Here is a 13,673-nt window from a genome sequence, read left to right as displayed (position 1 = left end):
ACATACAAATTAAGTTGGGGCGATTTACATATTAAAATATTGAGTTCTCTAACCTGTATGCAAGGTAAGTTTACCAATTTATTTAGGTTTTTAAAATTTCTACCAACATTGTTTTGTGAATTTGTTTGATATAGGTCTAGTATATCTGTTTTTGGATTTATCCCTAACCTCTACATACCCTTTTGGTTTGCATGGGACATCATCAATCTAGACATCCAAACCAAATTTTATTGGGGGTCCATCCTGTTTCTGCAGAGTGGACACAATTGCAGGGAACATGACCATTGCCTTGAGGCAAAATATTGAAAACAGTGTTACCCTTCTCACTCAATCAGAAAGATCTTGAGTAAGAATGTCAATTGGCCTGTCTTGTTTTGTGTGCCCAACTCTGGCTATCTGTCAGGAGTGCTTTTGGCAATAAAACAGAAGATAACCTCCCAATAGTGGCTTAAACAATTGGATAATTTTTTTTTCCTATGACAAAACCAAAGGTAGACAGTTTGTGGCCAGAAAAGTGACTGAAGGACCCAGGCGCTTTCCATCATCTTGAACCAACATCTTTAGTGTTGACTTATGCCCTCAGGCTTATTGCTTCGTGGTTATAGAATGGATGCTGTGCCTCTAGCTATTACATCTGAATTTCAGGCTGGAGAGAGAACAAATGGGCAAAAGGACAAGCCAAGTGAGTCGGTTCTTTATTATCAGGGAAGGAAGTAAAATCTTTCCCAGAAATCCTATTCAGCAAACTTTCACTTACATCTTATAGACTAGAAATGGACCACATGGCTACTCTTATCCACAGAAGAGTCTGAGAAATCAATTATTTTGTCTTTTTCAGTCTCTGTGATAGAGTCAAGTAGGGGAGAATGTGATTATATTTGAGTATTGAGTGAGCCAAACTACAATGGCTGCCACACTGACTGATATTATGACAGGAGAATAGGAAAGTGTTATTGTCCTGGCCTGAGTTATGGGTCTGTCTCTGTGGTCAGGGAAGAGCCCCTTCTATTTTCACAAAAGAAGGATAGAGCATGACTAAATTGACAGAAAAAATAGTTATCAAGACACACAGAGTTAAGGCAAATCTCTGGAATCTGTCTCTTAGGATAATGATATAGCCTGGGCAACATAGTGAGGTCCTTATCTCTACAAAAAAGGAAAAAAAGTTAGCTGGTTTCAGTGTTGCATGCTTGTAGTCCCAGCTACTCAGAAGGCTGAGGTGGGAGAATCACTTGAGCCCAAGAGGTCGAGGATACATTGAGCTGTGACTGCACTACTGTTCTCTAGCCTGAGCGACAAAGTGAGACCTTGTCTCAAAAAACAAACAAACAAAAACAAAAAAACAAAACAAAGCAAAAAAAAAAGGATAATGACAATCAGTTTTAATTTTCAGGACTGTTTTTCTATATTTAAATCCGAAAGCGATAGAGTTAAAAATGACGTCTCTTATCCACTCCTAAAGCCTGCTGATGTTTCTCTAGATATGTACTGTGTAAGGAAAAATGAAGAGCAAAGTAAGAAGTCAAAGCAAGTCCTGTGTTCAAATCCTAGCATACCTACTATCTGAATTTGTCGTCATCGGTAAGCTACTTAAATCTTAGGAGCCTCAGTTTCCACCAGTATAAAACGGGGATAACTACACCCAATGGCTGTAGTATTTGGGGAGATTCATTGAGGTAATTGATATAGAGCATCTAGCTTCTACTTGCCACTTAAAAATGTCAGTTTTCTTCCCTGTTGCTTCTTTATTTTTATCCTTTTATTTCTGCTGACTAGATTTAAAGCATCTCTCAAGCTCCTATTTGTGCTCTTCCCCAAAGGACTCCTTAAATGTCAAGTTAAGTCCAGATTTTCAGAAGTTTGCATAATGTTTGTGAAAGAGCCATGGAAACATATATGTCTGGCCAAATGACCTTAACCTTCCCAGGTCTAACCAAGCTATAGTTTAGAACTTCTCAGCATGGCTGTGTTCAGGAGACAAACTGCTTCATGATTTTGAGATTTATTTCCTCATAGTATAGGTCAGCTTCGTGATATTTCTTCAGAAAAGCCTCCCCTAGTCAATTTACACATTTTATACTCATATTAACATGTACCTCTCTTTTCTAGCACTCAGGACAAATTCTAATTTTGCATCTGTGGGACTGCTTTTAAATTTTGATCTGTCTTCCTGAAAGAAGGGACAGTATTTTCTTCTGCTTACCGCTGTGACCTAAGTGCTGTGGCCAGAGAAAAGAGATAGCCAACATTCCAGAAGAAATAAAATACCTTCCCTGAATTTTCCCTGAAACCTGTCTGCACCCCTCCCCTTTCCATAGTTTGCGTTATCAACGTTCACTTGTCTTCTAAGAGTTAGGAAGCTGCATTTGTGTCCAAGATAACAAAATTAGGTTTCTCTATCACTATCAACTTAAAGACTTCCTTCCAAACATTTACTCCTTTAAACTTTTCATTCACTTGCTGAAATAATTTACTCCTTTATTTTTTCATTCACTTGCTGAAATAATTTTAAGGAAGAAAATATCTCATGCAGCTCTCATTTTTATTTTTATAAATGACAGGATCCGTTTTACAAAAGTGGGGATTGGGTTAAGAGGCTCTAAAAATGCATTTCCACTTAAGCTGATGCACTCTAGAACAATGTGCAGCTGAATGGACATTTCCTGTCCTACAACCACAGAAGAATGGGAAGGCAAGCTAATGATTGCCTGTTGGGGCCTGGGATTCGGAGTTCAGCCTTGTAAGAGCTGTGCTAAGAGGTTTCTGTACTGTCTACCACCTCCTATTTGGAAACCCATTTGACTTTTTCCATTAGTGTTTTTCTTCTTTTTGAAGTGTTGTAATTCAGCCTCAGTGTGTGGTCTGGCTTCGTTCTCACTAGAGCAGAGACTGGAAGAATTGAGCCAAACTGTGGTGGGCCAATGATAAAAATTGCTTCTATTTTCCATTTTAACAATTGTTTTGACTTTAACAAGTTTGAGGCTGGAACTTTTTGGTTGGGAGAATGGGCTTTTGAATATCAATGAATAAAAAATAGATAAAAATAAAGGGATACATCTATAGGATATGGTGCACAAGAGGAAAAATAATTGTCTATCCCAATATTACCCCTAATTTGTTTAATTTTAATTTTTTAAAGAAACTACTTCTTTGTGATTTGTCAAGAGTCATCAAATTGGTATGCACCACCACTGTGCCACCACAAACCCACTTTCTCTGCTTTATAGTACCATACTTCCTTTTAGATTCTAATTTGGGTTTCAATTCATGTCTTTCCATAAGTCAGCTCACTCTTGAACCTGAACCAACTCCCTGACAACACATTTTGAATGAGTTAATGGGGGAAATGTCCACATTTAAGACCTCATGTTATATTCATTGCCTTTCTGGTTACCCATAATTGAATGATTATAGAAGAGAAATCTGTTCTAAAGCACAGAGAGTGATGCTTCTCTCACTCTGTTGAAAGTTATGTTCATAATATAAATTATGTCATAAATGATGTCACAAATTCAGGAACAAACATGTGGCTACAAATTGATATTCAACATGACACTATCAAATTAATGTTGAAACATTAGACAAACCATTTATTTTTACTGCCTCAACTTTTTTTTTTTTTGAGATGGAGTTTCACTCTTGTTGCCCAGGCTGGAGTGCAATGCCATTATCTTGGCTCAACACAACCTCCGTTTCCCGGGCTCAAGCGATTCTCCTGCCTCAGCCTCCTGGGTATCTGGGGTTACAGGCATGCACCACCACATCTGGCTATTTTTTTTTTTTGTATTTTTAGTAGAGATGGGGTTTCTCCATGTTGGTCAGGCTGGTCTTGAACTCCCAACCTCAGGTGATCCTCCTGTCTCAGTCTCCCAAAATGCTGGGATTACAATCGTGAGCTGCCTCTGCTAAATGAGATAATGAAGTCTGTCTCCACTTATGTTGAAGAATTAAGGAGTTATTTTTAATAACGTGTTTCTAAAGTCATCTGGCCCCCAGATGCACTGCTTTTTAGAATAAGGTTAGACATAGAGAAATAATGAGCTTTATTCATTATTTACCATATAGCTCAATATTCAATGTCGGCTGAATTTAGAAGTTTTAAAGCACGATCACATCTTATCATTTTGTAAAAGTAATTTGCCCACAAGTCACATTCACCCTATTTTTTTAATTAATTATAACCACAGATTCTGAGGTTGTGCCTTCTTCCTGTATCATTGCTATATTACTCTGTTTCTCAGGATTTTGTTTTCATTCACTCTGAACTAATGCTATGAATTAGAAGTTTTTCTATTCATCAAACATTATTGCAAGGGTTTACTGAATTTGTTCACTTATTTATATTTTCAATACATGTTTACTGAACACAATGTATGTGCAAGACTTGGAGATACACCAAAAATAAGAAACACAAAATCCCTGCCCTTGGGTAGCTTATTTTTAGGTAAGAGTGGGTGAAGCTATGAAGAAAAACAGAAGTGAATATTGGACAGGGAGTGACAAGATGGATAATGACCTCTCTATGGAGGCAACGTTGGAAGAAAGACTGAAAATATAACAAGAGTCAAGTACTGTGAAGACCTGGGAAAGCATTCCAGGCAGAGAGAAGAATAAGAGTAGACTGAGAGGGAGCAAGGGGAGAGAGGTAAGGAATAGAGCCCCAGGGAACTGGGACAGAGCTAGACCCATAAGACCTGTGGTGCATGGCGAGTCATTAGGATTTTATGCTGAGTGTGATGCCCTTAGAATTAAAGTAAAGAAAACTTTTGTGCTGTTAGTCTCTAGTATTATAAAGGCCTAATTCTTGGAAAATTCAATCCATAAGTATATATTGGAGGTTTTCATTGTGCAAGGCGTTGGGCTCAATGTGTGAGAAAATAAAAAATACAGTTAGAAGCTTGGCCTCCAGAATCTAACAGGGTATTTGAGTAGATGAATCACATACAGATAATGAAGTGTTTTACATCAGGGAACTGTACCTGTCAAATTAATGATATGGAATAGAAACCCATATTTCTTCTCTTTAAAGAGCTTATACCTTATTGGGTCGATAAAATGGTCATAGCTAAAGAAAATGTATGACAGCATAATATGATACAATTTCTACCTGTAAAAAGTATTTAGAAAATAAGTACCTAAGTGACTGTTAGAGCAGTAAGGTGATGCTTGTTGGAAGAAAGAAGGCTTGAGGCGGAGGCTTGAGCAATAAGCATTTACATTAACATTCCATTGCAACTGAATTTCATGTGTGAGGTATGAAGTAGAAATAAATTACCACCTTTTTAATAAAAATTCAATTGACCTAGCACCATTTACTGAAAAGACAACCTTTTCCTTGTTGCATCTTTTCAGTTTTGTTGAGGTACAGTTGAAAATTAAAAATTGTATATATATTTGCACATTGTGAAATATTCACAATCAAGCTAAGTAATGTATATTTTTCTCAAAAGCAATTTTGGAGTTGTTTGAATCTCACAGTTGTCTTTTTTCAAAAACAATTTTGGTGTAAATCAGAGATTAGAAGATTCAATATTATTAAGATATCAGTTCTTCCTATATTTCTTACCTTGATATTTTCCTCCCTTTGATGTATTTTCTTTGATTTCTCTTGTAGCATTTTCTAGATTTCTATGTAGCAGTATTGCAACTTTTTATTAGACTTATTCCTAGGTATTTGGTGGCTTTCAAACTATTGTAAATTGATTTAGCTTTCAACTTTCACTTTTAAATGTTTGTTGCTAATATAGGAATGTAATTAATTCATATAGAAATTATACTCAGCAACACTTCCATTTGTATTAATTCCATTAATTTATCTATAGATATGGCATTTTCAGTCCTTTCTTTGTGCTTCATTACAAATTATTTTCTACTAATCTATAGGCCAAACACTAATCCCGTCTTCTGCAGTTTCTAAGGTGCCATTAGATTCATCCTTCAATTCTTAACTTCTTTTTTAAGAGTTGATGTTTGGGAAATTTTTAAATTGTACTCTATCTTATTATATACATTGAACTCAGTTATTTTAAATCTGTGTGTATCTCCAACAAAATTTAGATTACTTGGACACCTGTTCCTATCTGTTTTCTCTTTGGGTTTGGTTAGTGACTGTGTTTATTGACATGTTTTCTAAGTTTTTATTAAATGCTGGACAGTATGTAGGAAAAAAATGTAGAACATTTGGATGATATCTTCCTCCAAAGACGATTTCATGTGTTTTGTTTTTTCCAGTCCCAAGTACAGACAAATCATTTTCATCTAGGCAAAACTGGCCTATTTTTAGTTTGTTCTCAGTCATTGCTATGCAATGTTTGTAGGAATCTCAACTAAAAAAGAGCTTTGGTGTTTAAATAGGATCATTCTTATTTGGGGTATCTGAACACTACTTTCTGTCTTTCTAGCACAATAAAAGTATCAAAATCATTGCTAAGCTATTTTTTAGTTTCTAAGCACAGAATCAGAGTTTCTCAGTGTCTTAGAGTTCGTAAATGCTAAGAGTAGAAACTGCGTAGAACGTCAAAGTCACTTTTCTGAAGCTCACTGATTTCGGCCCCTCACATTTTTAGACTATTGCTTCATGATCAGTTTCTGTGCTTAGAGCTGAGAATTGCTTGCTAATGCAAAAAAGTGAAGGCAAATGAACATTCATCCTAATGTACTTCCATTCTCTTCAGGAACTCAGTTCCTCCATTTCTTGTTGACTTAGTTAATCTCCAATAATTTTAAGTAGTTGTTTTCTGCTTCATTTATTTTATGCAGCTTTCATAGTTGATCTCATTGAAAGTATTTGTATTATACCAAATACTGCACAGCAGAAAGGAATCCAGAGTAATAAATGCAGTTGAAGTAAATGAAATAATGCTGAAGAGAAAAATTGAAAAAGGAAAATCTATACATTATTATGCAATTTTTGCCTATTTAATGTAATTTTACAGTTCAAATGCATGGCATATAAGAAATTTTATAATCTGACTCTAAACTCTTCTCCAATATTATTTTCCACCATATTTCCTAAACCAAACTGAACTTCTCAAGGTTTCAAAAATATTTTATGCATTTCCTCAAATCTATGTTTTTGCATGCTATTTTATATACATACAACTAAGCTTCTCAACTGGTAAATCTTGAATATTTGCATGCAACCAGTGGACTAAATGTGTGATATTGATTCCACAGTTCATAGGATAGCTGGTCAGAGCCAGGGTGGCCAGAGAACACGAGAAAGTTGCTTCCAGCTGAGAATCATTTTCTCATTTCCAGAAGTGTGCCGTAAAAATATTAACGTATGTGCCATGATATGAACAAATTTGGAAGCAGTGGCCAAGAATATCTGATCCCCATATACAATCAAGTTTTGTTCCATGAAAGATTTTGGTCATTATTTAAGACATTCCTCAAGTGTAATCTTCTTTTTTTTTTTTTTTTTTTTTTTTTTTTGAGACGGAGTCTCGCTCTTTCGCCCAGGCTGGAGTGCAGTGGCGCGATCTGCAATCTTGGCTCACTGCAAGCTCCACCTCCCAGGTTCACGCCATTCTCCTGCCTCAGCCTCCCGAGTAGCTGGGACTACAGGCGCCCGCCACCACGCCCGGCTAACTTTTTGGATTTTTAGTAGAGATGGGGTTTCACCTTGTTAGCCAGGATGGTCTCGATCTCCTGACCTCGTGATCCGCCCGTCTCAGTCTCAGCCTCCCAAAGTGCTGGGATTACAGGCGTGAGCCACCGCGCCCGGCCAAGTGTAATCTTCTTTTAACTCATTTTATTCGTTTCTATAACAATTTAATTTCGTAATTTTGTAGCTTTTGATATTGTACCAAATACATGGGCCTTGAAGTTAGAAAAACTAAATTTGAATCCTACATGAGGACTTCTGGTCCTTGGTAAGTTTTCTCTGAGTGTCAATTGTCACATCAGGGAAATGAGGGAAATACTAATTACACTGTTTTAAAAATACTTACTGAATGCATATTTTATACTAACCACTGAAGAGGGTATTAGATGAAAAGAGAAAATTTCTATGAACGCATAGCAACAGCACAGGATATGACATCTTATAGTAACTTAATTTTAAATTTTTATTTTATTATTTTAAGATTAATAAATTAGATTAATAACAGTTGATGAAGGACTAGGATCAATTCATGGAAATTCCAAATGTTAGAGCCTGAGTAAATACACAAATTGTATCTTGCAACATTAGGCCCTCTAAGCTCTTATTGTTGTATAGGTGAGTTGTAAATAGTCGTCTTTGACATCCTTTGCTCGTAAGATTTATTAATATAAGTAGAGTATCATATGCATATTGTTTGCTTATTAATTCATGATTATATTTATTGCAGTGGTTCGTTCATTCTACACTGTAGGTTGTCAAGAATATAGGCCCTGAGTCAGGTAGACCTGGGGGTTGAATCCTGTCTCTACCATTAACTATTATAGCTCTTCATTACATGTTTATAATATGTTCATCGGCTAATGAACGAACCTAGGCTCAGGCTTCCTCGTCTATAAAAACTGGTGTGATGATATATGCCTCATAGGATTTTTGTGACGATAGAAGGAGATTCGACATATAAAACAACATGGCGTGGAACAATCAGTGTTTAATAACTGCTGTCTATTGTTACTATTTGAACCTTAGGCTCTTTTTTTCAGGGTCCTAATATATTAGCCAAGGAGCAATTTAATATATTTCCATCTTCCATTTCCATTTTCTAAAATCCTCAATCCCAGGTGAGGGTGCTGGAAAAGGTTTTCTTTCTTAAATGAATTTAGGCAGACCAGTTATTCCACATAAATCAAGTACCCCCTTGAGGTTCCCCGGTTCTAAAAGCATGGGAATGTGGGTAGTCTTGGCTTCACTGTCTTTGTCCGGTGTGTAGGATGTCCTGGCAGTCCATCCACTTGATCTGAAATTTGGCCTTGGGGCTGGGTTCTGTTCACTTCCTCCTAACTAGGCTTTCAGGCCAGGAAAATGTTGTAATAGAGTTTCTTCTCTCCAGAAAATCCCTAGAGATTCTTCCTCTTGGACTTGAGGGTAGACATTCAAATACTGCCTTCCTTGGATGTTTTTTAGTTTAGCTGAGGATTAAATTTTTCAAATTGTCTGCCTTAATAAATATGTCCAACCCTTCTATTCATTCCTTATTTGAACCCAAGGTCAGGGGGCTGTTTATATTTTAGCCTCTTCCAGAAACCCATATTCTTTTCCTTTGTAACCTTTTAACCCATTTTCTTTCTTTCTTTTTTAAGTGTTAGGATTTTTAGTTGCTTGCTGACTTTTCCGTTTTATACCTTTAATCTTCTTTTATGTTATATTTTAATATATGCACTAGGGCACAATGAGGTTTCTTTTATAATAACATGAAAGGCAGAGAAAAAATAGTTTGGATCAATAACAAAATATTCAGGAAATGGACATGGAAAAGACCCATTTTTAAGTGTAAAAACATAAGCTCTTTAGGGAAGGAGAAGGTGCTTCCAAAGGACAACCCTTGTAAAAGAAGAGACTCCCATGGCCCTGATTCACAGTGTATTTATTTTAGGCTTGTGTTTCTGAGTGCAGTGTGAAAAATGGAAGAAGTCATATAGCACAATTTATTGTTGAGACCCATAGGTCATGGAGCAGAAATTTATAAACATACTGAGGGATATATGTAATGACACAAATGACTGCACTGCTTTTCAAAGAGTGATCCACACAAAGCACCATTGCTTATAAATACTTCACTCACTGATATGGTTTGGTTCTATATCCCCTCGCAAATCTCACCTTGAATTGTAATAATCTCCATGTGTCAAGGGTGGGACCAGGTGGAGATAATTGAGACATGGGGGCAGTTTCCCCCATGCTATTCTCATGATGGTGAGGAAGTTCTTAGGAGATCTGATGGTTTTATAAGGGGCTTCCCCCTTCGTTCAGCACTCATTCTCTCTCCTGCCACCCTGTGAAGAGGTGCCTCCCACCATGACTGTAAGTTTCCTGAGGCTTTCCCAGCCATGCTGAACTGTGAGTCAATTAAACCTCTTTTCTTTAAGAATTACCCAGTCTCGGGTATTTCTTCATAGCAGTGTGAGAATGGACTAATACACTCAACTATCTAGAATTTGTTGTTTTCTGATTGAAGGCACAAGGAAGGGTAAGGTACATGCAAAGGATTACGCCAGAAACACAGAGATGACCCTGGAAGATCTTCATAGTATTCCTAAGAAACCTCATGAAAAGCCCTACAGTTGATGGCTGCAGAGGAGAGTGTGTCTCTCTTTAGCTAAGAGTTGCATGCTAAAATTCCATCTATATAATCTAGAGGTATTTTTTTCTCCATTTTATAAAAAGAAATCTAATATGCTATTTCAGTTATCTACACAGACACTGGTTCTGATGAATAATGCAGTGAGACCTGAATTCCTTAAAGAGTAGTCAGTGCCTTCTGGAATTAGGGTTTCTGAAGGGTCTCCGATGGATATCTGCATTACCTTAGACTATGAAATTGGCAAGTTTCACTGTCAATTCTTCTCTCTGTATTTCCATCCACCCTTCCAATTACTACATCCTATAACAGATATAGCACATAGTCCATTCTTACAGAACATGTGAAAAGAATTAGTTAACTAAATGAGACTGACCCCTGTCCAGGGAAGTGGAGGATCAAAATACATCTGCAGGAAGCTGTAGATCTAGCTTTGCCCTCCACCCCTATGCTACCCTTCTACCTTCTCTTCTCCTTGTAATGTACATAAAAGAAGGCCTGATTTGTCACTTGGGATGGTTACTGGACCCTTCTAAAGTGTACTTAGGTGAGGTTTTATATTCCCTGAAGTTTGACATTTCCTGAATTTTTATTAATTCTGATGACTTGGAAATTATCACCTAGTGAAATTTGTAAAATCAAAGTAGTCATGGGTCTCTCTTAAATACCATCTTTAAAATGCTGGTGGAGCCTGGCAAGCTAATTTGCTTTTCTGTATATTCCTTATTGCAGAACAATTGCAATTCAATACTGGGAGGACTTCCAGAAGGATTTCATCAAATAACAAGCGTGTTATTCAGAGATCCATAATGATATGTTCAGACCCAAGTACAGACACTTCTTTGGAATGATTATAGCAGAAGAGAAATTCAAAACAAACAGTAAGAATTTTTATAATTTTTAGTAATAGTACCATAAATAGTTTGTTAGGTAGTAAATGGGACTTTCTTCATTGTTTCCAATATTTTGATTAATAAAATTTAAGGATGCCATATTTAAACATATTACAAATGCTATTGCTACTGAAATATATTTATATTTACCATGTTGTTGACAGACAACAATGTTTACTTTGATCTGGGTAAAGAAAACTAAGCTGATATATTTTTAAATTTTCTATATTTTTGTGGATATATAGTAGGTGTATATATTTATGAGTTACATAAGATATTTTGATAGAAGCATGCAATGCATGATAATAACATAAGGGTAAATGGGGTATCTATCACCTGAAGGATTTATCCTTTGTGTTACAAACAATCCAATTATACTCTTTTTGTTATTTTAAAACGTACAATTAAATCATTTTTGACTGTAGTCACCGTGTTGTGCTAGCAAATAATACATCTTATTCATTTTTCTAACTATTTTTTTGTATTAATTAACCATCTGTGCTTCCTCCAGTCCTCCACTACCCTGCCCAGCCTCTGGTAATCATCCTTCTCTCTATGTTCATGAGTTGAATTATTTTCATTATTAGCTTCCACAAATAAGTGAGAATGTGTGGAGCTTGTCTTTCTGGGCTGGACTTATATTACTTAATATAATGACCTCCAGTTCCATCCATGTTGTTGCAAATAACAGGATCTCATTCATTTTTATGACTGAAAAGTACTCCAGTGTGTATATGTACCACATTTCCTTTATCAATTCATCTGTTGATTGACGATTGACATGTAGCTTGCTCCCAACTCTTGGCTATTATGAATAGTGCTGCAATAAACATAGGAGTGCAGACAGCTCTTTGATATACTGAATTTCTTTATTTGGAGCATATAGCTAAAAGTGGGATTGCTAGATCAAATGGTAGCTCTATTTTCAGTTTTTTGAAGAACTTCCAAAATGTTTTCCATAGTGGTTGTACCGATTTACATTCCTACCAACAGTATAATAGGGTTCCCCTTTCACCATATCCTTGTCAGCATTGGTTATTGCCTGACATTGGGATAAAAGCCATTATAAATGGGGTGAGATGATGCATCTCAATGTAGTTTTGAATTGCATTTCTCTGATGATCAATGATGTTGAGCACCTTTTTATATACCTGTTTGCCATTTGTAAGTCTTCTTTTGAGAAGTATGTGTTTAGATTTTTGCCCATTTTTAAAATCAAATAATTAGTTTTTTTCCTGTAGTGTTATTTGAGCTCCTTATATATTCTGGTTATTAATTTGTCAGATGGGTAGTTTTAATATATTTTCTCCCATTCTGTGGACTGTCTGTTCACTTTGTCAATTGGTTCCTTTCCTATGCAGAAGCTTTTCATTTGATGTGATTACATTTGTCCATTTTTGCTTTGATTGTCTGTGTTTGTGGGTTATTACTCCAGAAATATTTGCCCAGTCCAATGTCCTGCACAGTTTCCCTTATGTTTTCTTTTAGTAGTTTTATAATTTGAGGTCTTGTATTTAAATCTTTAATCCATTTTGATTTTTTTGTATATGGTGAGAGATAGGGTTCTAGTTTCATTCTTTTGCATATGGAGATTCAGTTTTCCCAGCACAATGTATTGAAGAGAATTTTCTTTCTCTAGTGTAGATTCTTGTACCTTTGTCAAAAATGAATTTACTGTATATGGATTTATCTCTGGGTTCCCTTTTCTGTTCCACTTATCTATGTGTCTGTTTTTATGCCAGTACTATGTCGTTTTGGCTACTATGACTCCATAGTATAAACTCAGGTAATGTGATTCCTCCAGTTTCATTCTTTTTGCTCAGGAGAGCTTTGGCTGTTCTGGGTCTTTTATGTTTCTACATAAATGTTAGGGCTACTTTTTATATTTCTGTGAGGACTGTCATTGATATTTTGATAAGGATTGCAATAAATCTGTAGATTGCTTTTGGTAATGTGGAGATTTTGGTAATATTGATTCTTCCTATCCGTGATTATAGATTGTCTTTCCATTTTTGTGTGTCTTCTTTAATTTCTTGCATCAGTGTTTTATAGTTTTCATTGTAGAGATCCCTCACCTCTTTGGTTAAAGTTAATTCCTAGATATTTCATTTTATTTGTAGCTATTGCAGATGGGGATTACTTTCTTAATTCCTTTCTCAGAGTGTTTGGTGTTGGCATATAGAAATGATACTGATTTTTGTAGGTTGATTTTGTATCCTGCAACTTCATAGAATTTTTTTTTTTTTTTTTTTTTTTTTTTTTGAGACGGAGTCTAGCTCTGTCGCCCAGGCTGGAGTCCAGTGGCGCGATCTCGGCTGACTGCAAGCTCCGCCTCGTAGGTTCACGCCATTCTCCTGCCTCAGCCTCCCGAGTAGCTGGGACTACAGGCGCCCGCCACCACGCCCGGCTAATTTTTTGTATTTTTAATAGAAACGGGGTTTCGACGTGTTAGCCAGGATACTGAATTTGTTTATCAGTTCTAATAGTCTCTTTGTGAAGTCTTCAGGTTTTTCCGAATATCAAGTCATATTATCTG

General features: G+C 36.2%; 1 long non-coding RNA gene across 1 annotated transcript in view; it reads left to right on the top strand.

Annotated features, from left to right (window-relative positions):
• Positions 1-1,343: 1,343 nt before the first annotated feature.
• Positions 1,344-13,673, top strand: part of LOC105375167 (uncharacterized) — a 67,988-nt gene continuing 55,658 nt past the window's right edge. Inside the window, exons 1-2 of the long non-coding RNA XR_927058.2 lie at positions 1,344-1,581; positions 10,977-11,125. This is a non-coding gene — a long non-coding RNA (uncharacterized LOC105375167). The remainder of the gene's footprint in view (positions 1,582-10,976; positions 11,126-13,673) is intronic.

The sequence above is a fragment of the Homo sapiens genome, chromosome 7 (genome assembly GCF_000001405.40).
Source record: "Homo sapiens chromosome 7, GRCh38.p14 Primary Assembly".
Lineage (NCBI taxonomy): Eukaryota > Metazoa > Chordata > Mammalia > Primates > Hominidae > Homo > Homo sapiens.
Note: the sequence above shows the minus strand (reverse complement) of the source record. Positions and strands in the feature narration are given on the sequence as shown.